General features: G+C 39.0%; 1 protein-coding gene and 1 long non-coding RNA gene across 16 annotated transcripts in view; one reads left to right on the top strand and one right to left on the bottom strand.

The window, feature by feature from the left end:
* Positions 1 to 810: 810 nt before the first annotated feature.
* LOC105372064 (uncharacterized) overlaps positions 811 to 26,695 on the top strand; it is a 40,781-nt gene continuing 14,896 nt past the window's right edge. For 2 of the 3 annotated variants that reach the window (XR_935377.3, XR_001753413.2), the window contains exons 1-2: positions 811 to 985; positions 11,918 to 19,681. This is a non-coding gene — a long non-coding RNA (uncharacterized LOC105372064). The remainder of the gene's footprint in view (positions 986 to 11,917; positions 19,682 to 26,695) is intronic. The other variant, XR_001753412.2, reaches the window with a different exon arrangement.
* Positions 19,833 to 26,695, bottom strand: part of GALNT1 (polypeptide N-acetylgalactosaminyltransferase 1) — a 130,913-nt gene continuing 124,050 nt past the window's right edge. For all 13 annotated transcript variants that reach the window (XM_047437466.1, NM_001384441.1, NM_001384439.1 and 10 more), the window contains one exon: positions 19,833 to 22,043. In XM_047437466.1, coding sequence (XP_047293422.1) covers positions 21,897 to 22,043 — 147 coding nt within the window. In that variant the 3' untranslated portion in view covers positions 19,833 to 21,896. The remainder of the gene's footprint in view (positions 22,044 to 26,695) is intronic.

Raw genomic sequence — 26,695 nt, 5'->3', positions numbered from 1 at the left:
CACCACCATTTGTTGAAAAGACTATTATTCCATTGTATTTTCTTTGTACTCTTGTTGAAAATCAATTGACCTAAATATAAAGGTTATTTCTAGACTCTGAATTCTGTTCAGTTGATCTATATGACTATCCTCACACCATGTCCCACTCCCTCCCTTCACCCCTCTATAGGAACTACAGTGCAATGTTGGCTTTCTCTATTATTGTAGCTTTGTAGTAAGACCGTAAATCTTAGGGTGTGAGTACTCCAATGTTGTTCTTTTTTTTCAAAATTGTTTTGACTCTTCTGTGTACATTGATTTTCCGTATAGATTTTAGAATCAGCTTGTCAAGTTACGCAAAAAAAAAAAAAAAAAAAAAAAAGACACTTGAGATTTTGATAGGGATTGTACTAAATTTTCAGATCTGGGGAGTGTAAAGAACATGGCTGTGCTTTGGTCATGGATAGGCTGAGGTAAACATCTAGAGTGACTCAGTGAGTTTACAGCACAGGCATATAACTCCACTTGTTATCTTAGCCATGTAGCCATAACATAAGAAGGCTCATCATTTGGCTCTAAGCCACTATTGTCTGTAAAAGGTATTACTGACCTGCTGACACTGTACAGGTGCGCTTGTGCCCAGAGAAGGAGAGAGAGAGCCAGAGCTGTCCGTCTTTGCAGATGGACAGGAGGGAGCCAGAACACAGCTCTGCTCACTTGTACCCACAGAGAGAGAGAAAGAGTTAAGCTGCTGACCCTGAAGGGAGAGCCAGCCATGCAGCTGTGTGTGGGAGCCGCCGGGCTAAGCAGCCAAGACAAGGCGAACAGTGTGACAGAGCTAGTGTGAGTGAGCTGCTGCTAAGAGAGTTACTGAATAAAACAACCTTTCACCTGCCTACAGCCCCCGCAGCGTTCTTTCAGCTATCTGCTCGTCCATCCACTCGCTTCGGACCTCAGCATGAGCTGGAACCTGACTCCAAACAGGACAGAGAGTAGTACCATTGTTGTGAGTTCTATTATTATGTTTTGTTTTATTTTTTCTAATTTGGTCTTGGGGTCTCTTTCTTGACAGTGGCTATAAGCTAAGATAGCCACCCTCTAAGAGAGCCCTGACTGGGGGGATAATTAGGTTCAAGTGTGTCTGTCAGGTGAGACACAATGAGAAAGTGAAACCAAAGTTTGTGAAACAGAAGAAATTTATTACTCACAGGTCCCAGAGAGGTTAGGGGTGCCTATGAGGTGTTGGGACATCTGGAGCCAACAAGAGGTGTAGTGCAGAAGGGGGCAGGCGGGGAGGGTGAGAGAGGAGAAAGTGGGAAGGGGGACTCGTGGTACTATACCTTCATTAAGTTCCATAGGCATTAACCTTTAGGCTTTCTCTCAGGAGTTGTAGACTGATTAGTTAACAAAAACCTGCTGAATGGGGAACTTATTTTTGTGACTCTGGTGTTGACCATTAGGATTTATTGTAGCCAGCAGCTGTGAGCTGTGTTGGGTTTTTGAGTCAGTAGGATGAGGAAAAAGCAGGCTGTACTGGAAACGACCACAAAGGGAGGAGAAATTTTAAAAGCCAAAGGTGATGGAGTACAACTGGGTTTCAAATAACTTACATCAGACCTAAAAATGGATGCTGAGATGCCAAGTATATTAAACAAACTTAAAACAAGCATCTTAATATTAGGCTTTTTGATTCATCAATGTGTGTTTATTTAGATCTTCTTTAATTTCTTTCAGTGATGTTTTTGTTCTCAGCATGTAAGTCTTACACTTTTTTTGGGTTTTTTTTTCTTCAACTTTTATTACAGGTTCAGGGGTACATATGCAATTTTGTTACAAACGTATATTGTGTGATGCTGAGGTTTGGAGTAAATGAATCTATCTCTGAGGGGGTGAGCATAGTACCCAATAGATAGTTTTTCAGCCCTTGCCTCCCTCCCTCCCTCTCACCTCTTGTATTTCCCAATATCTATTGCTCTCATCTTTCTGTCCATGTGTACTTGTTGTGCATTCCCACTTATAAGTGAGAACATGTAGATTTGGTTTTCTGTTTCTGCAGTAGTTTGCTTAGGATAATGGCCTCCACCTTCATCCAATGTTGCTACAAAGGACTTGATTTTGCTCCTTTTTATGGCTGCATAGTATTCCATGGTGTATATGTACCATATTTTCTTTACTCAATCCAGAGTTGATAGGCACCTGGGTTGAATCCATGTCTTTGCTTTTGTGAACCATGCTGCAATGAACATACAGGTACACTTATTTTTTTGGTAGAACAGTTTACTTTCTTTTGACTGTATACCCAGTAATGGAATTGCTAAATCAAATGGTAGTTCAACTCTTGGTTCTTAAGAAATCTCCAAATTGTTCTCCACAGTGGCTGGACTAATTTACTTTATTAGTCTGTTTTCACACTGCTGATAAAGACATACCCGAGACTGGGCAATTTACAAAAGAAAGAGGTTCAATTGGATACACAGTTACACATGGCTGGGGAGGCCTCACAATCATGGCAGAAGACAAGGAGGATCAAGTCATATTTTACGTGGATGGTGATAGGCAAAGAGAGCTTGTGCAGGGAAACTCCCTTATGATACCATCAGATCTCGTGAGACTTATTTGCTATCACAAGAACAGCATGGGAAAGACCCGCCCCCATAATTCAGTCATCTCCCACCGGGCCCCTCCCACAACATGTGGAAATTATGGTAACTACAAGATGAAATTTGGGTGGGGACACAGAGCCAAACCATGTCATTAACATTCCCACTGGAAGTGTGTGTTTCCTTTTCCCCACATCCTCACTGGCATTTGTTGTTTTAGACTTTTAAACAAAGGCCATTGTTATTGGTGTGAGATGGTATCTCGTTGTGGTTTTGGTTTGCATTTCTCTGATTAGTGATTAGTAGTGATGTTAAGCTTTTTTTTTCATGTTTCTTGGCCACTTGTATGTCTTCTTTTGAGAAGTGTCTGTTCATGTCCTTTGGCCACTTTTTAATGTGGTTATTTGTTCTTTGCTTGCTGAATTGTTTAAGTTCCTTATAGATTCTGGATATCAGGCCTCTCTGTTGGATGCATAGTTTGTGAATATTTTCTCCCATTCTGTAGGTTTTCTATTTATTCTGCTGATAGTTTCTCTTGCTGTGCTGAAGCTCTTTAGTTAGGTCCCACTTGTCAATTTTTGTTTTTGTTGCACTTGCTTTTGAGAACTTAGCCATAAATCTTTTGCCAAAGCCAATATCAAGAAAGGTATTTCCTAGGTTTTCTTCTAGGATTTTAATAGTTTGAGGTCTAACATTTAAGTTTTTAATCCATCTTGAGTTAATTTCTGTATATGGTAATAGGTAGGGATCCAGTTTCATTCTTCTCCATATGGCTAGCCAGTTATCTATCACAACACCATTTATTGAATGGGAAGTCTTTCCCCATTGCTTATTTTTGTCAACATTATTGAAGATCAGATGGTTGTAGCTGTGTGCCTTTATTTCTGGGTCCTCTATTCTGTTCTGTTGGTCTATGTGTCCGTTTTTGTGCCAGCACCAGGCTGTTTAGGTTACAGTAGGCTTGTAGTATAGTTTGAAGTCAGATAATGTGATGCTTCCAGCTGTGTTATTTTTGCTTAGGATTGCTTTGGCTATTCGGGCTCTATTCTGCTTCCATATGAATTTTAGAATAGATTTTCTAAATTTGTGAAAAATGTTATTGGTAGTCTGACAGGAATAGCATTGAATCTGTAGATTTCTTTGAGCAGTATGGCCATTTTAATGACATTGATTCTTCCTATCCATGAGCATGAAATGTTTTTCTGTTTGTGTCATCTCTGATTTCTTTCAGCAGTGTTTTGTAATTCTCATTGTACAGATCTTTCATCTCCTTAGTTACTGTATTCCTAGGTATTTTATTCTTTTTGTTGCTATTATAAATGGTATTGTGTTCTTGATTTGGCTCTCAGCTTGAACATTATTGGTATATAGAAATGCTACTGATTTTTGTACATTGATTTGTATTCTGAAACTTTACCAAAGTCATTTATCAGTTCCAGGAGCCTTCTGGTGGAGTCTTTAGGGTTTTCTAGGCGTACAATCATATCATCAGTGAAGAGATAGTTTGACTTCTTCTTTTCCTATTTGGATGCCTTTTATTTCTTTCTCTTGCCTGATTGCTCTGCTAGGACTTCCAGTACTATATTAAATAGGAGTGGTGAAAGTGAGCATCCTTGTCTTGTTCCAGTTCTCAAGAGGAATGCTTCCAGCTTTTGCCCATTTAGTATGATGTTGGCTGTGGATTTGTCATAGATGGCTCTTATTATTTTGAGGTATGTTTCTTCAACGCCTATTTTGCTCAGGGTTTTTAACCTGAAGGGATGTTGAATTTTATCGAAATTGTTTTCTGTGTCTATTGAGATGATCATATTGTTTTTGTTTCCAATTCTGTTTATGCGGTGAATCACATTTATTGATTGCATATGTCAAAACAAACTTGCATCCCAGGAATGAAGCCTACTTGATTGTGGTGAATTAACTTTTTGATGTGCTGCTGAATTCGTTTAGCTAGTATTTTGTTGAGGATTTTTTGTGTCTATATTTATCAGGGACATTGGCCAGAAGTTTTTTTTCTTCATCATCTCTCTGGCAGGTTTTGGTATCAGAATGATGCTTGCTTCATAGAATAAGTTAGGGAGGAGTCCCTCTTCTTTGATTTTTTTGGAATAGTTTCAGTAGGAAAGGTACCAGCTCTTCTTTGTGCATCTGGTAGAGTTAGGCTGTGAATCCATCTGGTCCAGGGCTTTTTTTTTTTTTTTGGTTGGCAAGGCTTATTATTATTATTATTATTATTATTATTATTACTGATTCAATTTTGGAACTCATTATTGGTCTGTTCAGGGTTTCAATTTCTTCCTGGTTCAATCTTGGGAGGTTATGTGTTTCCAGGACATTATCCGTTTCATCTAGATTTTTCTAGTTGTGTACATAGAAATGTTCATAATAATCTCTGAGGAGTTTTTCTTATTTCTGTGGGGTCAGTTGTAATGTCACCTTTGTCATTTCCAATTGTGCTTATTTGGATCTTCTTTTTTCTTTGCTAATCTAGCTAGTGGTCTATCTTGTTTATTCTTTCAAAAAAACAACTTTTGGTTTGCTTGATCTTTTGTATGGATTTTTGCATCTAAATTTCTTTCAGTTCTGCTCTGATTTTAGTTATTTCTTTTCTTCTGCTAGTTTTGGTGTTGGTTTTGTCTTGTTTATCTAGTTCCTCTAGGTGTGGTGTTAGGTTGTTAATTTGAGATCTTTCCAACTTTTTGTTGTAGGCATTTGGCACTATAAACGTTCCTTTTACCGCTGCTTTAGGTGTATCCCAAAGATTCTACTATGTTGCATCTCTATTTCCATTAGTTTTAAATGATTTTTTTGATTTCTGCCTTAGTTTCATTCTTTACCCAAAAGTTATTCAGGAGCAAGTTGTTTAATTTCCATGTAATTGTGTAGTTTTGAGAGATCTTGGTATTGACTTCTATTTTTATTGCACTGTGGTCTGAGTGTGTGGTTGGTATGATTTCGATTTTTTTGAATTTATTGATACTTGCTTTATGGCATGTAGTCAGTCTTGGAGTATGTTCCATGTGCAGATGAGGAGAATGTATATTCTGTAGTTGTTGGATGGAGTATTCTCCAGATGTCTATTAGGTCCAACTGGTCAAGTATTGAGTTTAATTCCAGAATATATTTATTAGTTTTCTGCCTCAATGATCTGTCTAATGCTGTCAGTGAGGTTTTGGGTTTCCCACTATTATTATGTGGCTAAGTCTCTTCATAGGTCTATAAGAACTTGTTATGAATCTAGGTGCTCCAATGTTGTGTGTGTATATATTTATGATAGTTAAGTACTGCTGAATTGAACCCTTTATCACTATGTAATGCCCTTCTTTGTCCTTTTTTTATCATTGCTGGCTTCGAGTCTGTTTTTCTGATGTAATAATAGAAACTCCTGCTCTTTTTTGGTTTCTGTTTGCATGATAGATCTTTCTCCATTCTTTTAATTTGAGCCTATGGCTGTTGTTACATGTGAGATGGGTCTCTTAAAGACAGCAGACACTTGGGTCTTTTTCTTTTATCCAACTTGCCACTCTATGCCTTTTAACTGGGGCATTTAGTCTGTTTACATTAAAGGTTAATATAGATATGTGAAGATTTGATCCTGTTATTGTTGTTAGCTGGTTGTTATATAGGCTTGCTTGTGTAGTTGCTTTATAGTGTCTGTGGACTATGTACTTAAGTGTGTTTTTGTGGTGGCAGGTATTGTTCTTTCATTTTCATGTTTAGCACTTCCTAAGGACCTCTTGTAAGACAGGTCTAGCGATAATGAATTCCCTTAGCACTTGTGTGTCTGAAAATGGTTTTATTTCTCCTTCACTTAGGAAGCTTAGTTTGGTAAGATATGAAATTCTTGGTTGGAATTTCTTTTCTTTAAGGATGCTGGAAAGCAGGTCCCAACTCTTCTGGCTTGTAAGGTTTCTGCTGGAATGTCCACTGTTCACCTGAAGGGGTTCCCTTTGTAAGTGACCTGTTCCTTCTCTATAGCTGCCTGTAAGATTTTTTCTGAGGTGTTGACCTTGGAGAATCTGGTAACTATGTATCTCAGGGATGGTCATCTTATATAGTATCTCGCAGGGGTTCTCTAAATTTATCGAAGTTGCATGTTGACTTCTCTAGCAAGCTTAGGGAAGTTTTCATGGGCAATATCCTCAAACATGTGTTCCAAGTTGATTATTCTTTTTTCTCTTTCAGGAGTGCCAATTAGTCGTAAGTTTGGTCCCTTTTTATAATCCCATATTTCTGAGGTTTTGTTCATTTTTAAAGGTTCATTTTTTCTTTATTTTTGTCTACCTGAGTTTATTTGAAGGAGGAGTCTTTGAGCTGTGAGATTCTTTCCTCAGCTTCATCTATTCTGTTGTTAATGTTTCCAATTGTATTCTGAAATTCCTGTAGTCAATTTTTCAGTTCCTGGAGTTCAGTTTTGGTTCTTTCTTAAAAAGGTTATACCATCTTTCAACTCTTGTATTATTTTACTGTTCTCCTTGGATTGGGTTTCAACTTTCTCCTGTTTTTTTCTTTTTTATTTCTTTTTTTTTTTTTAGCTTCAACTTTCTCTCTTTTTTTTTTTTTAGCTTCCTTGCTATCTAGATTCTGAATTCTATGTCTGTCATTTCAGCCATTTCAATCTGGTTAACAGCCACTTCTGGGGAGCTTGTGCAATTGTTTGGAGGTAAGAAAACACTCTGGCTTTTAGAATTGCCGGAGTCCTTGTGCTAGTTCCCTCTCATCTGTGAGGGCTGGTGTTCCTTTATCTTTTGAAGTTGCTGTGATTTGGATGGGGCTTTTTATGGTCTTTATTTACCTTGAGGGTTTGACTGTAGTGTAAGTTGAGTATAGTTGATTGGCTTTGTTTCTGGATGCTTTTAGAGGGCCAAGGCTCTTCACAGGATTTTTATTTGTTGCTAGAACACTGCACTGGGTTTCACAGGCAATGAAAGCAGGAAGTATTTTTTGGTGGTGTAATTCAGGCTGCAATCAGTAGATTATGCTTAAGAGTAAGGGCTTGTACATCCCCAGGAAGCTACCAATGACTTTCTTCACAGAATTGGAAAAAAAAACTACTTTAAAGTTCATATGGAACCAAAAAAAGGCCACATTGCCAAGACAATCCTAAGCAAAAAGAACAAAGCTGGAGGCATCACGTTACCTGACTTCAAACTATACTACAAGGCTACAGTAACCAAAACAGCATGGTACTGGTACCAAAACAGAGATATAGACCAATGGAACAGAACAGAGCCCTCAGAAATAATACCATACATCTACAACCATCTGATCTTTGACAAACCTGACAAAAACAAGAAATGGGGAAATGATTCCCTATTTAATAAATGGTGCTGGGAAAACTGGCTAGCCATATGTAGAAAGCTGAAACTGGATCCCTTCTTTACACCTTATACAAAAGTTAATTCAAGAAGGATTAAATACTTAAATGTTAGACCTAAAACCATAAAAACCCTAGAAGAAAACCTAGGCAATACCATTCAGGACATAGGCATGGGCAAGGACTTCATGTCTAAAACACCAAAAGCAATGGTAACAAAAGCCAAAATAGACAAATGGGATCTAATTAAACTAAAGAGCTTCTGCACAGCAAAAGAAACTACCATCAGAGTGAACAGGCAACCTACAGAATGGGAGAAAATTTTTGCAATCTACCCATCTGACAAAGGGCTAATATCCAGAATCTACAAAGAACTTATACAAATTTACAAGAAAAAATCAACCCCATCAAAAAGTGGGTGAAGTATACGAACAGACACTTCTCAAAAGAAGACATTTATGCAGCCAACAGACACACACAAAAAAGGTCATCATCACTGGCCATCACAGAAATGCAAATCAAAACCACAATGAGATACCATCTCACACCAGTTAGAATGGTGATCATTAAAAGTCAGGAAACAATAGGTGCTGGGGAGGATGTGGAGAAATAGGAAGACTTTTACACTGTTGGTGGGACTGTAAACTAGTTCTATCATTGTGGAAGACAGTGTAGCGATTCCTCAAGGATCTAGAACTAGAAATACCATTTGACCCAGCGATCCCATTACTGGGTATATACCTAAAGGATCATAAATCATGCTGCTATAAAGACACATGCACACGTATGTTTATTGTGGCACTATTCACAATAGCAAAGACTTGGAACCAACCCAAATGTCGATCAATGATAGACTGGATTAAGAAAACGTGGCACATATACACCATGGAATAATATGCAGCCATAAAAAAGGATGAGTTCATGTCCTTTGTAGGGACATGGATGAAGCTAGAAACCATCATTCTGAGCAAACTATCGCAAGGACAGAAAATCAAACACTGAGTGTTCTCATTCATAGGTGGGAATTGAACAATGAGAACACTTGGACCCAGGGTGGGGAACATCACACACCGGGGCCTGTCGTGGGGTGGGGGGAAGAGGGGATAGCATTAGGAGAAATGCCTAATGTAAATGACGAGTTGATGGGTGCAGCACAACAACATGGCACGTGTATACATATGTAACAAACCTGCACGTTGTGCACATGTACCCTGGAACTTAAAAGGTATAATAATAAGAAGAAGAACAAAAACAGTAAGGGCTTGTAGATAGACTCTAGCTGAGCCATGTGCCTCTCAGTGTATTTCAATGCATTGGCAGCAGTGCTCTGTCGTGGGGCAGACAGGGTTGGGAGAGAGATGATCCCCTCACCAAGTCCATTCCTGGGTCTTAAAGGAGCCCCCTCCAATCACTGGTGCCGTGCCTGCCTTTCCTTAGCCTCAAAGGCGGCTCTGGTGAGCTGTGCTCCTCCCTCCCTTTGAGGTGGTCCAAGCCAAAGATTAGGTCACCAGGAGACCCACAGCTCTCTGGAGGCCCACCAAGGTCCTCTGTGCTTGGCAGAGTCAGAGCAGGTTGTGGGGTATATCTGTAGGTGGTCTGTTGATGCAGTAGGTCAAGGGCGGGGCATCTGTGGGCAGGGCAGTGTTGTTGTGGGTATGCAGCTGGTGGGGTGCCCATGCCTTGGGTTTTTTGCCAGCAGTCAGCTGTGGGACCTGCCCAGCTCCACCCTCAATAGGGTCTCCTGATGAGCGTCCCAGAATTTGGCCTGACCAGCTTTTGTCCCAAGCCTTCTGCACCCAGATTGCTGGGCTGTTAGGCATTCAGGGCCATGAGGCCCCCCGGGGAGAGGCTGTGGCTGCCAGAGAGTCTACATCCCTCCCAGACTGGCCCAGCAGAAGCAGGCACACCCAGCTCCTGTGTCAGCCCACGAACCCATGCCTCACTCTTCCCAGCACTTTGAGAGAGAGGGTTCTTCCTTCACTTAAGTTCCAGCCACAGATCTCAGCTCAGTACTCCTGGGCTGCATGCTCTAACCCTGGGAGGTTAGGACTGGGTCCATGGCTTTGTCCTCTGGCCCCTCAAGGTTGAGCACCAGCCATGCAGGGGCTGGGGGTGCTCAAGGTCCTCCCAGGACGCCAACAAAAATGCTCTAGCGGTAGTTGCTAGCAAAAGCACTCTACTGGGGCAGTGTAGGCTGTGCTTTGTGCCCGCTCCTATGGGAGTGGCCAAAAAGGGATTCTGGGATCAGTCAGTGGACAGGTGGGTGCACAGGTCAGCTATGCCCTGGTCATGCAGGAAAGACAGCCCTGCTCTCTCCAGGTTCAGTAGTCAACAAAGGTTACAGCCTCATAGAGAAATATGTAGAGCCCGGGATGAGCACCTATGGCCGTGTTTTGTTACAGCTGTCCCCATGCAACCCCCACTGGGTTCCACAGAGGCTCAAACTCTATCTCTGCTGACTCTCCAGGTAGTTCTCCCTGCCAACTCATATGTCCATGGGGTTATAGGGTCTCCTGCAGCTAGGATCTTGGAGATCTGTAATGAGAATGGGCTGGTCTGCAGTTACTTCATCCATCCCTTTCTTAGGAGTTGTTCAGGGCCAGGAATAAGTTTCAGAGCTTGGCAACCCCATGCAGGGTTCCCAGCTTCCTCTCTCTTCAGCCCTGGTGTCTGCATCATCTCTCCATTGACTCTCAGTGCTTTCTCCCCAAAGATCTGTTCAAAGTATGATGGTTTACTCTATATTTTGGTCTCTCTTGGTGGAAGATGCTCTTCCTGGCTGCATCTAGTTGGCCATTTGTCCCTCTCTTGCACTTTTTAATTACATTTATTCCTAAATATTTTGACACTATTTTAAATGGAATTTAAAAAATTTTCAGTTTTGAACTGTTCATTGATGGTGTATGTAAATACAACTGAGTTTTGTATTTGATCTTTTGTCCTGCAACCTTGCTGAACTCATTTATTAGTTCTCATAGTTTTTTAGCGGGTTCCCTGAAATTTTCTAGATACAAAATGATGTCATCTGCAAAAACAGTTTTATTTCTTCCTCTTCAATCTGGGTGCATTTTCTTGACTAGTTGTTCTGGCTAGAACTTTCAGTACAATGTTGAATAGATGTGGCAAGAATAGACATCCTTGTCATGTTCCTGATCTTAGGGGAAAAGCATCCAGTCTTTCACCATTAAATATGATGATAGCTGTGGACTTTTCATTGGGGCCCATTATCAAATCGAGGACATTCCCTTTTAGTCCCGGTTTTGTTTGTTTTAACCGTAAAAGCATGTTGGATTTCCTGTTCTTTATTAAGATGATCATGTGGCTTTTGTTCTTTATTCTATTAACATGGTGTATCACATGGATTGATTTTCAAATGTTAAAACAACTTTGCATCCATAGGATAAATACCACTTCATCATGGTGTATAATCCTTTTAATATGCTGCTGCATTTGGTTTACTAGTATCCTGTAGAGGCTATTTGCATCTACAGGCACACCTCAGAGATATTGCAGGTTCAGTTCCACACAACAGCAGTAAAGTGAATATTGCATTAATAAAGTGAGTCACACAATTTTTTGTTTCCCAGTGCATATAAAAGTTATGTTTACACTATACTGTAGCCTAAGTGTGCAATACCATTATGTCTAAAAACAAAACAATGTATATTCTTAATTAAAAATACTTTACTGCCAAAAAATGCTAATGTTCACCTGAGTCTTTAATGAGTCCCAATCTTTTTGTTAGTGGAGAGTCTTGCCTCAATGTTGATGGCTGTTGACTGTTCAAGGTGGTGGTTGCTGAAGGTTGGGTGGTTGTAGAAATTTCTTAAAATAAGACAATGAAATTTGCTACATTGATTGAGCCTTCCTTTCACAGAAGATTTTTCTGATGCTATATGATAGCATCTTACCCACAGCAGAAGTTCTTTCAAAATTGGGGTTTTCTTAAACCTTCCCTCTGCTTTATCAACTAACTTTATGGAATATTACAAATCTTTTGTTGTCATTTCTACTATGTTCACAGCATTTTCACCACGAGGATTTCATCTCAAGAAAACATTTTCTTTGCTCATCCATAAGAAGCAACTCTTCATCAATTCAAGTTTTATGATGAGATTGAAGTATTCAGACACATCTTCAGGATAATTCTAGTTCTCTTGCTATTTCTACATCTGCAGGTATTTCCTCTACTGAAGTTTTGGATCCCTCAAAGTCACCCATGAAGGTTGGAATCAACTTCTTCCAAACTCCTGTTCGTGTTGGTATTTGACCCCCTCTCATGAATCATGAATGTTCTTAATGGAATTTAGAATGGTGGATCCTTTTCAGAAGGTTTTCAATTTACTTTGCCCAGGTCTATCAGAGAAATCACTATCCATGACAGCTATAGCCTTATTAAATCTTATTTCTTAAATAATAAGACTTGAAAGTCTGAATTAATCCTTGGTCATGGGCTGCAGAATGAATGCTGTGTTAGCAGGCATGAAAATATTAATCTTGTTTTACATCTCCATCAGAGCTCTTGGGTAACTAGGTGCACTGTCAATGAGCAGTAATGTTTTGAAAGGAATCTTTTTTTCTGAGCAGTAGGTCTCAACAGTGGGCTTAAAATATTTAGTAAACCATGCTATAAACAGATATGCTGTCATCCAGGCTTTGTTGTTCTACTTGTAGAACACAGTCAGAGTAGATTTAGCATAATTCTTAAGGGCACAAGGATTTCTGGAATGGTGAATGAGCATTGGCTTCAACTTAATGTCACCAGCTGCAACAGCCCCTAACAAAAGAGTCAGTCTTTACTTTGAAGACAGGTATCAACTTCTCCTCTCTACCCATTAAAGTCCTAGATGGCATCTTCTTCCATTTTAGGCTAGATGCCTAAAATCAACAGAAGGCTCTTTTGTCTATATTGAAAATCTATTGTTTAGTGTAGCCACCTTCTTCAATGATCTTAGATTTTCTGGATAACTTGCTGCAGCTTCTGTATTCGCACTTGATGTTTCACCTTACACTTTTATGTTATGGAGATGTCTTCTTTCCTTATACCTCATGAACAACCTCTTATTTTCAAACTTTACTTCCACAGCTTCCTCTCTGCTCTGTCTTCATAGAATTGGAGACAGCTATGGCTGTGTTCTGAATTAGGATTTTGCTTAAGGAAATGTTGCAGTTGGTTTGATCTTCTATCCAGACCATTAAAACTTTCTCCATATCAGCAATAAGGCTATTTTGCTTTCCTATCGTTTGTGTGTTCACTGGAGCAGCATTTTAAATATCCTCCAGGCACTTTTCTTTTGCATTCACAACTTGGCTAACTGGTGCAAGAGGCCTAGTTTTTGGACTATCTCAGCTTTCAACATGGCTTCCTCACTAAGCTTAATCATTTCTAGCTTTCAATTTAAAATGAGAGATATGTGAATCTTCTTTTCACTCTAACACGTAAGAGACCAATGTAGGATTATTAATTGGCCTTATTTAAAAATTTCTGTGTCCCAGGGAATAAAGAGGGCTGAGGAGAGGGAGAGAGACAGCAGAAGGACCAATGAGTGTAACAGTCCACATGCACGCACACATGCATGCACACACACACAATTTATCATTTAAGTTCATCCTCTCATACGGGTGTAGTCTGTGATGCCCCCAAACAATTACAATAGTATCATCAAATACCACTGAACCCTGTAACAGATATTCTAATAATAAAAAAGTTTGAAATATTGCAAGAATTACCAAAATGTGACACAGAGACATGAAATTAGCACACAATGTTGGAAAAATGGCACTGTGAGACTTGCTTGATGCTGGGTTGCCACAAACCTTCAATTTATTAAAAAAACACAGTATCTGCAAAGTACAATAAGATGAGGGTATACCTGTATATTCATCAGAAATATTGGTCTTCAGCTTGTTTTGTTTTCCCTTGTTATGTCTGTCTGGCTTTGGTATCAGGCTAATGCTGGCTTCATAGAATAAATTGAGAAATGTTCCCTCTTCTTTTTGTAAGAGTTTGTGAATGATTGTTGTTAATTCTTCTTTAAACGTTTAGTAGATGTATTAGGTTGAATAGTGTATCCGAATTTCATCTATTCAGAATATCAGCATGAGACTCAATTTAGAAATATGATTTATATTAATTTCCTGGGGCTGTTGTAACAAAGTACTATAAATTGAGTGGTTTAAACCACAATAATTTTTGACTGTTTTGGAGGTTAGATGCCTAAAATCAAGGTGTTGGCAGGGTTGGTTCTTTCTGAGGATTGTGAGGGGTTATCTGCTTCATGCCTCTCCTAGGTTGTGGTAGATTCAGACACCCTTTGGTTTGTGGATGGTGTTTCTCTGTATCTGCACATCATCTTCCTTCTCTATGTGTCTGTGTCATTTCCCCTTTTAATAAGGCCATCAGTCATACTGGGCTAGGGTTCACCGTAATGATCTCATTTTAATTTGCTTACCTCTGTAAAGACCCGACTTCCAAATAATGTCACATTCTGACGTATTAGTGGGTAGGACTAAACATGTCTTTCTTACCTGTGGACACAATTCGACTCACTGCGGAGTCTATGCAGATCCAGTTAAGATAAGGTCATAATGGATTAAAGTGGGCTATAAATTCAATGTAACTAGTGTCCTTATAAGAGGAGGCAGAGAAGAAAGACACAAAAACATGCAGAGAGTAATGCCAAGTGAAGACAATGGCAGAGATTGGAGTGAGGCATCTGACAAGCCAAGAATTACCAGCAACCACAGAATGGAGAAAATAAGAGTCTCCTTCAGAGCCTCCACTCTCTATCTTCTCTCCTTCCAGGTCAATGCATGTATTTGATCATCAAGGCTGTTTTTTTTTTTTTAATCCCTTTATCTTTTTTCTCTGTGGTTCAGTTTGGACATTTTTTATTGACCTGTGCTCAAGTTCACTGATCCTTTCTTGTGTGTGTCCAATTTGCTGTAAATCCCAATGAGTTTTTGATTTTAGATACTTTTTTGGTTTTAGGATTTTTTTCCCCGTTTTCAGACCTCTTCTGAAACTTCCCATTATTATACTTATTATATCCACATTTCTCTGTATACATTTTTAAAACACTGATACTTATTTTGAAGAATTTGTCTGCCAATTCCAACATCTAGGTCACTAGTGGGTCTGCTTTTTATTGACTATTTTCAAAAATAATCAATAAAATAGCCACTTTATTAGATGTGGTCAATTTCCATTTTGTAGTTGGCTCTAGAAACAGCCCTAAGGTCTTAGAAATGGTCTTAATTTCTACACATGCCCTTCTTGGATCTCACCATAAAGTTAACAGTGTTTACCAAGCCCCTCCAAATTTGAACTTCGACCTCTGTGTTTGTGGTGCTGGGCAACTGCTGAGACTGCTGCTTAGATCTTTCTGCCTTCCGGTGGTTGTTTTTCTCTGACCTTCCTGGAGTTTCATCCTGTGCACACTATTTAATCAGCCAACCATCTGAGGGAAGTTTGTATGTAGATTTGGGGACTTCTTTTTCTGACTCCTTGCAGTCTAGGATTTCCTTCCTCAATTTCCAGCCTCTGTTTGCTCTCAAATAAGATCTGACTCCTCAGCCTAATATTATTCGTCACCATCTGCATGAACTCTACCTTCAGTGTGCTGAGTGCATGGTGGATGCTCTCTGGGGAAAAGCTGAGATCCTATCCAGTGAACACACCTTTTTAACAGGGGTCAAATGCCCTACAGTTTCTGTTCACTCACCTGGGGCATCACTCTTTAAATAATATTTTGTTCCAAATTATTAAGTTACTAAGCTTTAGTCTGATACAAGCTAGTCTCGCACTGCCAGAAGCTAGAATTAATTTTTTTAATATTCACACATGATGGCTTACTTACTCTTTTTGATAGTAATTTCGTATCTGAATTTAGTTAGTGGGAGTATGGGGGTGGGGATTGACAGGTTTTTTTTTTTTTCCCCCCAAAGGACTTTATTCTTTTTTTTTTTTTAGAGAGTCTCGCTCTTTTGTCCAGGCTGGAGTGCAGTGTCGCGACCTCGGCTCACTGCAACCTCCGCCTCCCAGATTCAAGTAATTCTCATGCCTCAGCCCCCCAAGTAGATAGGACTACAGGTGGGCGCCACCACACTGGATAATTTTTGTATTTTAGTAGAGATGGGATTTCGCCATGTTAGCCAGGCTGGTCTCAAACCCTGGCCACAAGTGATCCACTCACCTTGGCCTCCCGAAGTGCTGGGATTAAAGGTGTGAGCCATGTGCCCTGCCAAGACTTGTTTTATTCTGATGGTTTTCAGGAAGTGGTATAAATCTAAGATTCACTTTATTTTCTTGATCTGCAGACTTCATGAATGTGGCATTAAATCCCTGATCTCTGTGAAAGGAGGCCTATGATTACAGAGGCAGCACCATCATCTCATTTACTACCTGGAAAAGGGGCAAAGTCAGTCAGATTACCCTTTGGTTTCCTTTTCAAGAGGCTGACTTCCCTATCCACCCTTCACTTGTAGGTGTTAACACCTGTTAATATTCCAACTGAAGATGCAGGGATTTTTGGCTGGTTGTTTTTGTTGAGACAGAGTCTCACTCTTTCGCCCAGGCTGGAGTGTAGTGGTGTGGTCTCGACTCACTGCAACCTCTGCCTACAACCTCTGCCTCCCGGGTTCAAGCGATTCTCCTGTCTCAGCCTCCTGAGTAGCTGGGATTATGGGCGTGCGCCACCACGCCCAGCTAATTTTTGCATTTTTAGTAGAAATGGGGTTTCACCATGTTGGCCATGTGAAGTTCGAACTCCTGACCTCGGGTGATCTACACACCTCGGCCTCCCAAACTGCTGGAATTACAAGCGTGAGCCACCATACCCAGCTGTTATCTTTGGTTTAATTCCCCAACTTTGTTCAGGCCCAAGGCCTAAGCTCCCGTTCCCCAAACTCTAGGCATTATACTTTGTTCTTAGAAGAGGAAGGGCTTTCATATATAAGAGTTACAATTATCACCCAAGTTCATGTTTATCATTTTTCAAATCTGGCATTTAGGAATTTTCCATATTTTCTGCTGAGTTCAGCATTCCACTTTGAAGTACATTTGCGGTAACTTATTCAGCCTTTGGGTGTTTTGTAGCAGTGCAGGACTTTTCAGAAAACCTTGATGCCAGCAGGGTGAATACCTTCATCACTTTCCCCAGCACTTTACTGAGGCATAATTTACATACAGTAAAATGCATATATCCCAAGTATACAGCTCACTATATTTTAAAATATATACACACATACATATATATGTGTATGTTACCACTACTGCAATTGAGATATAGAACATTCCATCATTCCAGAAAGTTCTCCTATGCTCTTCTTCAGTCTATACTTACCCCCAAAGATAACCATTCCATATTTGTTTTTGAGCTTTATAAATGGAATATGTCTAGCTTTTTTTGTTCGTTTTTAAGATTTATCTACATTGTTTTGCCAGTATATCATTATTATTTTTAGAGACAAGGTCTCAATCTGTCACTTAGGCTGGAGAGCAGTGGCATGATCACAACTCACTGCAGCCTTGAACTCTTGGGCTCAAGGGATCCTCCCACTTCAGCCTGCTGAGTAGGTGGGACTACAGGCGCCTACCACCATGCCCAGCTGATTTTTAAATTTTTCTGTCGAGATGGTGTCTTGCCATCTTGCCCAGGATAGTCTTGAACTCCTGGGCTCAAGTGATCCTGCCTTGGCCTCCCAAATTGTTAGGATCACAGGTGTTAGCTATTAAGCCCAGCCCATTCTTTCAATTGCAGACTAGTATCCAATGTATAAACATACCATTACTTGATTATCTATTAGCTTGTTGGTGGATATTTGGGTAGTTTTCAGATTGGGAATATTATAAATAAAATTGCTATTCTTGTACAAGTCTTATTGTAAAAACATACCCTCATTTATCTTGGGTAGATCTTTAGAAGTGGAGTCACTAAGTCACAGGGTAGGCATTATGTTTATCTTTATAAGCAACCGGCAAACTGTTTCCTGAGGTGATTAAACCATCTTGGATTTCTATCAGTTCCACATTCTCACCATTTGGCGGGTATGCAGTGGTATTTCCTTGTGGTTTCATTCTACATTCCCTGATGGCTGATGTTTGAGTGCCATTTCCTATGCTACTCCTGCATCTGGAGAGCTTCTGTGAAGTATGTATTCAACTCACTCATTGTTAAACTGGGTTGCTGTTACAATGGTTTTAAAATGTTCTTTGCTTTCCTTTGGTTCCGTGTATTGTGATTATTTTCTCTTAGGCCGTGGCTTGCCTTTTCACTTTAAAAGTATCTTTTTGATGAGAAGTATCTAATTTTGATGAAATCTGTCAGTTTTTTTGTTTAACCTTCCTGAGATGTCTTCGCCTAAGATATCCTTGTCTACCCCAATGTCATGAAGATAGTCGGTTTCCTTTTACAAGATTTATTGTTTTGCCATTCACATTTAGTTCTATAATCCATTTTGAATAAACTGTGCATGGTATGAAGAAGGCATTATTAACATTGCTTTTTCCCAGACATCCAGTTACTTCAACTCCAACTGAAAAATCTTCCCTTTTTCTATTGAATAGCTTGTTTTTGTTGAAAAGCCAATAACCATATACATGTGGGTCTATTTCTGGACATGTCTATTTCTATTTGTTGTTTATCCTAACTCTAGTACCATACTCTCTTAACTGTTGTAGCTTTAGAGCAAGTCTTGACATTGGGTAGTACAAGTGCTCCAATTTTATTTTTCTTCTTCAAAATTATCTTGGCTACTTAGAATCTGTTGCATTTTCATATATGTATTTGCCAATTTCTACAAGATGGCCTTGTGGGATTTTGATCTCATTGAATCTAGATAACAATTTGTGGGGAACTGACATCTTACCATTATGCAGTCTTTCAATCCATGAGCATAGAATAGCCATTTATTTTGGTGCTCTATAATTCTTCCCAGCACTGTTTTGTAGTTTTCAGAGTAGAGGTCTTGTTGTTAACTTTCTTCCTACTTAGAAGTTTGACTTATTTGATGCTATTACAAATGGCATATTTTAACGTTATATTTTCAAGTGTTTGTTGCTAGGATATAGATACACAACTGAATTTCATATATTTGCCTCATATTCTGCAAAATTATCAGTCCTGGTAGATTATCAAGCAAATGCTTGGCAATCTTCAGGAAATCAGAGAATGGAGAAAATGTCATCTAATTAGAAACAGATCTAATTTTCCAAATGGCTTAAAAAGTGACTCATTCTTTGTATACAACCCCTCACAGTTATGACCTCAGAAACACTACCTTCTAAGTTTCTTTTTTCTTTGAAGAACAGGTAACTATAGAGTTAAATTTGCTCTTGGTATACTTCTTGGAAGATGAGAAGAGCATCAAATCCTTACAAAGAGGAACCTCTGTTTCTCAGCTAAATGTAGAATGGGAGCAATGAGGACATGGCCTGCACGATGTCCTCCATCTGCAGAATGGATGAATATTCCCAATGTTCAATGGCAGCACTATTTCTCAAGAATGCCAATGAAGATAGATATATTAAAATAGACCTTGACTGGGGTGGGGTGAATAGATTTGTGAGATTCAAATTATCCTTAATTGTCACATTTATGAATTCTTCACTGGTTAAATAATAATCCCACTTTTTCATCCTTCATTTTTTCTTTTTTTTTAAGATACATGGTTTCTTCTCTGTTGCCCAGGCTGGAGTGCAGTGGCACCATCATAGCTCACTGCAACCTCAAACTCCTGCCCTCAAGTGGTCCTATCGTCTCACCTTCCCAAAATGCTAAAATTACAGGTATGAGCCAGTACCCAGCCATTGTTTTCTTTTTCATTCTTTTCTTCCCAATTTGAGTTATAATAGAGTGATAAGCATCTGCCTAATTACAAGTAATTATGATAAACAGGGATCCACTCTAACTTCAAATAAAACCAATGTAAGGCACAACTATTCAGGAATATTTTGTATTTTCAAAGTATTTAGGAATTCTTTAATTAGAAAAATAAAGGCAATGGGATTATCTATCAGGTTCTAAAAGTACCCATGAATTAAATCACTTACATCTCCCATTTAAAACAAAACCTTAAATCACATTGCTGTTAAGCTTTCATACAGTAAGAAATAAGACCAAGCTATGCTGGAGTACAAAAACCTGAAATTCTGAGCATGAAAATAATTTATTGATTAGACATCTTGCTTATTCAAGCATTAGGCCTACTGGAGATAGAATTAACACAGCTCATGGAAAAGGAAAAAAATTCCATTCAGCACCTGCTTCCTTTCAAATTTCCTGGGGACATGGTTTATGCATTTTGTACTATAGACTCACCCTAAAGCATCCCCATGTGCTTGATGTTGATTAACTTGAACAGGATATGAGAAACTTTGTGTACACTCAACTTGGCAAATATCATTAGCGATGCGACTTTTGGAAACATTCTTAGGCACAAGAAATAGCACTGCCTGCAGTGAAAGTCCTTGATAATCAAAGAAAAGAATTCCATTAAATATAATTTTACAAATATGAAAGAAAATATATGCATTTTTGCCAACAGACTGCTCTACATATCAGGAAAAATGTCTTAATGAGATTCCTCCTACGAGATTAAAAGGTTACCTTTTAATTGACAACTTTCAATTGACACTCAGGTGATTCTGTGGTATTAAAAAAAATCAGAGAAAAATAAAACTGATTTAGCCTAAATAAGATTTAGGAAAAGAAATGCAAGCCTATTAATATGGAATAATAGCTGCACTTCTTTGGCTAAGTCATTAAAAAATGCCAATTAAACATTTTCAGTCAAATTTTATTTAAAAAAAGCAGCAGATAAACATTACAATTCAATAATCTAATCTAAATATGCATTTGACAATGAAGCATATCTGAGTATGGAGTGAAAAAGGTTTTCCAAAAAACCATCAAATGTATTATCTCCAAATACCCAAATAATAAATCACTTCTGCAGGCCTTTTGTTAAGTGGAATCATAAACAAAGAACTGAAGATTTATTGCTGTGAAAACAAATCTGTGGTACAGTAGCATGAATCTTGGGTATTTCGCATAATCAGTTAGGTCAAGTGAAGAAGTCGAAAATGTGATAAGAAATTTGTGTGTGTGTGCACATGTAAATCTGTAAGCCAGTTGACCCAAGAGCAACTGAAACATCTAATTTGTTCAGCTGAGATCAGACATTGTTAAATTTCCATTTTTTAGAAGGCAATTAAAAATTACAATTCCAACAGCCCACAAACCAAACAAAAAAAACTGTAGAGAGAAATTAAAACTATATTCAAAGAGCCTTTTTTTTTCAGCTCAATTTCAGCACCCCAAGGAAAATAAAAGCATCCATGACTATCACAGATGAAAACAAAATGAATGTCATTGGAATCAGTTATTTTTCCCCACTGAGGTATAAAATCTATATAGAAATTTGATACTATACTATAACAAATTGTACTTCTCATAGTTCTGTTTTAATTTCCTTTAAACCCTGTTTAATATAGTTTTTTTGTTGTTGTAAAAATGTTGTTTTCATGATTCTGAATCTGGTTCCAGTTCTTTTATTTTTATATCAATATTTAATATACTGGCTACCAGTTCTAATCAGGAAAAAAAATCTTGGAAATCTCTTCATTATGACAGCACGTTCAGCAGAAACTACTGATGTGCAAGCAAACCATAAAAGGTACAGTTCTCCAGAAAGCATATTTTGTTGATTTTTTTTCATTGTCTCAGTATTCTTTACCATGATTTTCGGAGAAAGACTCTTTCAATCTTGTAAACATCAGTGTGCACAGTCTCATTACTATGCAGTTTCACGTCCATGGACAGGAAGGCTGGTTCACAGCTAGTGAAAAGCTAGAGAAGTCTAAGTTTTAATGGCTGATAAACCTTACATCCTGCAGAGGAGGAAAGCACTTTTCCTTTTTTGCTACTTAAGAATGTGGCAGAAATGTATGCTGAGGTAGCCCAGTCAATCCTTATTTTTTTCGTTTTTTTGTAAATTTGGTCTCAGAATATTTCTGGCAGGGTGACGTTTCGAAGAAGCCACTGCTGGGACCGACTTCCATTGCAGTCTCTAATGCTGGGCACCTGGCTATCCTCTTCTGTGGCTTTATCCAGGCACTGATTACTGTTCACATGCTGCAGGGTTAATTTCTGAAATAGAAAAAATCTTAACATGAGAGTGGAAGAAAACAAAACACCTCAAGCATCAGTTTTGGTGATTAAGTTCCTCTGCAGAAAAGGTGTTTTTTTTGGTAATATACATTATTTAAAAGACAACGGAGAAAAGGTAGGTAGGTGGATGGATGGAGAAACAGAGAGAGAGAGAGAGAGAGAGAGAAGTAGGTAGATATGTAGGTCGATAAAGAGGTATGAGGGAGGGAGAAAGGCACTGGGGTCCAGTAGGGTACACTTGACTTGCTGCAAGATGACCTAAATTCTAAGTCCTAATTCTGGCATAAGCTCTGTAACACTATGAGAAGCTTCTCTTTTTTGTGCTTCAGTTTCCTAAACAACAAAAAAAGACCAGATTAGTGGTTCCTAATTTAGGATCCTCAACCTATTTTCAAACAGCTATTTCAAAATTGTTTCATTTCTCTATGATAAGGCTGTTCAAGTTAATTCTGTGATTCCAAAGCTCAAGTTTTTAGAAACTCAGGTCTTTCTGATAACTCAAAATCATAAGAATGTTGGGACAGCTGATATTTAGTAAAATCAATCTTATGCCTATGTCCATAGCAAACCCAGAGGCTATCCTGGTGGTTAAAGGAGATGGTGTGGTACAGAAAGAAAAGCACAGGAATGTGGAGTTGAGTTCACAGCCTGGGTAACTTGAGGTTTCTCATTTTAAAAATTAGGATCACATTACATATTTTGAGCAGATTTTGGGAAACTACATAGATAATGAAGATAAAGTACATAGTGCCTCACCTACAAAAGAGATTCTTAATAAATGGTTAACAGACATAGCTATATATTTTATCCACTTATTTAAGTTCTAGATTTGATGCAGCAACATGTTATTAGGATAATTTTGAAAGGGCAGGGCAGGTAAGAATTAACAGATAGATAGTTAACAATGATCCACACCAATGATTGTGATAATATGCTCTGGTCATGTTAAGGACTTCAAAGTAGTTGTATACAGGAATGTGCATTAAGCATTACTCTACAAATGTAAATTAACTCGAAGGAAATGTAAAATGTTTAACACATAGTTATCTGATTCTTTTACTCATGGCTCTATTTTAATGTAGTTCTTTTATCTGAAACATTTCATTTTCATGAGGCCTTTTTTGCACCTATTAGAACTTAAAACAAAATCTAATAATTGTATACAACTACTTAGGCTTCCAGTCATTTATTATTCTTCCGTGTTGTGGTCAAAGTAGGACCTGGCAGATGACAGTCTATCTTTGCAGATGTCACTACTGATACTGTCTTTAGGTTCAGGATTCTATCTTTAATGCTTCCAAATATAAGACTAGAACCTAGAAGAGAGTCAGCATGGCTGTGGGAATTTTTTTTTCTTTTTTTAATGCAGACTTTGTGTAGTTTATTGAGAGGAGGGGCTTTGCAGTCAGACATTCCTGGGGTGATTTCCAGATTTGTCACACACCAACTATATGCTTCTGAGCAAAAACCTAAACTCTTTGAGACCCAGTTTCCTCATCTATAAAATGGGGACAAAAATACCTCACCGGGTTTTTATGAGGAAACACTGAGATAATGTACATAAAGTGCTGCCTATCCCAGAGTAAATGCTTGATAAATGGTACAATGACATTTACATACAATGGTAATTTGCATTTATAGAGTAATGCTTATTATTGGAAAACACAACATCCTGGCAACGTCCTGAGCAGTCATGGACACAATCCAGCAGCCAGAGCGCTGCGGCTCAGCGTGCACATTGCTGCCAGTGGCTTCAGTCTCAGGAAAGACCAGAACAAGAGAACCTCTCAAACATTCCGGGAGTTCCCGCAAAGCTTATCCCAGTGGCCTCCCTCATCAGGCCCATGGTCACTATTACTAAAAACAAAAAACCCCCAACTAGGCACAACAAAAAATTTAGTTGGGAGAGTTGGTCTCTCTTAACCTAGTTTCTAAAAATGTGCATTTCACTCATCTAGATTCATTAAAATAAACCCATCACAAACACATAGGTTATTGCTCTGTGCTGAGTATTTAACTATTCGACATCAGGACAGAATCCCCATAACTTGGAAGGTGAGCAGCACCCCCAGGAAGCCTAGACTCTGGTGGAGAACCCTGTTCCAGATACAACTCTGGCTGCTGACAGCAGGCACAGAGCCTTGTGGCTTGGAACCTTGTGGGTAGGATGCTGTCATCACAGCACTCCTCAGAGGACTCAGGCAACACCAACTAGTCTCCATTCAGAGAGAGCTGGACTAAGGCATCAGGACAAGCAAGTGACAAGCATCTAACCGTAACCTTTGAAGGAGAGGATAAAAGCTATAATTAATCATTTAGTAAAGTCTACCTGCATCCTAGAAAAAATAATTTGCCAAGCTCCTACTCCTAATTTCTAGATGTAACTAGGTCTAAAATCTGCATTTTATTCCAGAAAGGACAGATACAAGTAGTCAAAGCAAAAGAGCCCAGTGCCTTATTGTAAATTTTATGTAATATGTAATACAAGCAAGACTCAAAACTATTAATCAAAAATAGCGTGGTACTGTGCAAAGAAACCTGGATCGAGAATCTAGAATTCCAGATTTGAGATCTAGTCATACTATCTGGCTGCTCAGAGACCTTGGGCAATTAATTTCCTTGGGAAATTAATTCTGAGTTTCAATTTCTACTTGTATAAAAAGTATCCTGGGTTTAATTTCTAGGGTTGCTTTGAAATCTAAGAATTCATGATTTTAGATTACAGATAATGGACATAAGTATTCTGTTATTTTTCTAGACTGTTAAGTTTTCAATGGATGGAGGCAGGACGATTCTGATGGGCTGTTCCCCTCCAGTGCTTTCCCTGTAGTCTGCTCAGGCTGTTGGACCTGCATTGCAACTCAACTTCTCCCTCTGCCCAGGGAGAGGGAGGTATTCCTTTTACAGATATTGGCCCAGAAAGTGCTCCCTAACAAACATCCTGAATGCTCAACTTTATCTTCGAGTCTGCTTCTGGGAGAAATCAATCCCCAGCATTAATGTTTTATCTCAGCAGGAAAAAACCTTGCAAAGCGATCTAGAAGTTTTAAAACTTCACACTCATAACTGGCTCTTTTTTTTAAAATTTAATTTTATTTTTTGAGATGGAGTCTCACTCTGTCGCCCAGGCTGGAGTGCAGTGGCGCGGTATCGGCTCACTGCAAACTCCGCCTCCTGGGTTCACGCCATTCTCCTGCCTCAGCCTCCTGAGTATCTGGGACTACAGGTGCCTGCCACCATGCCTGTATGGTGTATTTTTTGTATTTTTAGTAGAGACGAGGTTTCACTGTGGTCTCGATCTCCTGACCTCGTCATCCGCCCACCTCGGCCTCCCAAAGTGCTGGGATTACAGGCTTGAGCCACCGCGCCCGGCCGGCTCTTTCTAAATACTCTTATCTCCAGCTTCTTACCTGTTTCATCAAACATTTACTTTTGGAATACTGTTGTGGTAGACTGTGTAGGTTGGCTAGCCAACAGTCTTTCCCAATCCCTCTATCTCTTGGCCATCTCACACTCTAACGACTAGAAAACCAAAGACTTGCTTTCCCAGCTTCCTTTGCAGCTGGGGGTCACCATGGGATGTTCTGGTCCATAAGACATAAGCAGAGCCTGCTAAGGGGGTTCCAGAAAAACCTTTTACTTTGCTAATAAAGAGCAACACATGTGGTAGTGTACCATTCCTCTTTCCCTTTTCTTTCTGCCTGGAGTTGGGATGCGATAAAGCTGCAGCAACCACCTTGTGGCCACAAGGAAAAGCTAAGAATATTACAACAACGTTATCCCTGACATCACTATGCCACTGAATTTACTTACCTCTAGACTTATGTAAGAAAAATAAATCCCTATTTGTTTTAGCTATAATAAATAGGTTTCTAAAAATACTGCCTAATTAATATACTGTCATTTTCCAATAAACTTAAGAGGTTTTTCATTTTTAAAATTTTGTGGTTGTCACAATGGCTATGGGGTGCCACTAGCACTTACTATCTGGAGCCAGAGATGCTACATACCCTGCAATGCATGGGGCAGTCACACCCAAAATGGCAGTGGCACATACCATGGGAAACCCTAGAACAGAGCATTCAGGCCATTTCCAATGGCCATATTAACTGAGCTATTATTATAGGTAATATCATTTTTTCTATAGCCTGACATTGTGAAAGGAGACCCAGGATTTATAAAAGATGATCTCTGTCCTCTAGGATCTAACAATCTAATAGTGGAGAAAAGATTGCTAGATAAATAACTACAAACAAGTACAGCTTTATAGAGGTCAGAGATGACTGTAATTAAGATTGACAGAGTTAATTTCAGGTTAGGATTCATGGAAGTGATGTCAAAGCTGGGTTCTTAAGAATGGGTAAGGTGTGTCAGGCAGAGGGAAGCATATTATCTTAGATGTGAACTAGGAAAGTATAAGGTATGTTCAGAGAACAGCATATTGATGATTAAAGTAGACCATGGTTGGTGTATGACACAGTAAAGGGAGGAAAGATGGCCAAAGTCAGTAACTTGGGACAACATTTCCATTTAAGGAGTAGGACGAAGAAGGAGAGAGAGCCAGGCCAACAAAAGGAACAGAGAGCAAACTAAGAGAAGAACCTAAACAGTAGTGCATCTTATGGCCAAGG

This window comes from Homo sapiens, chromosome 18, assembly GCF_000001405.40.
Source record: "Homo sapiens chromosome 18, GRCh38.p14 Primary Assembly".
Classification (NCBI taxonomy): domain Eukaryota; kingdom Metazoa; phylum Chordata; class Mammalia; order Primates; family Hominidae; genus Homo; species Homo sapiens.
This window is presented reverse-complemented; position numbering and strand designations above follow the sequence as displayed.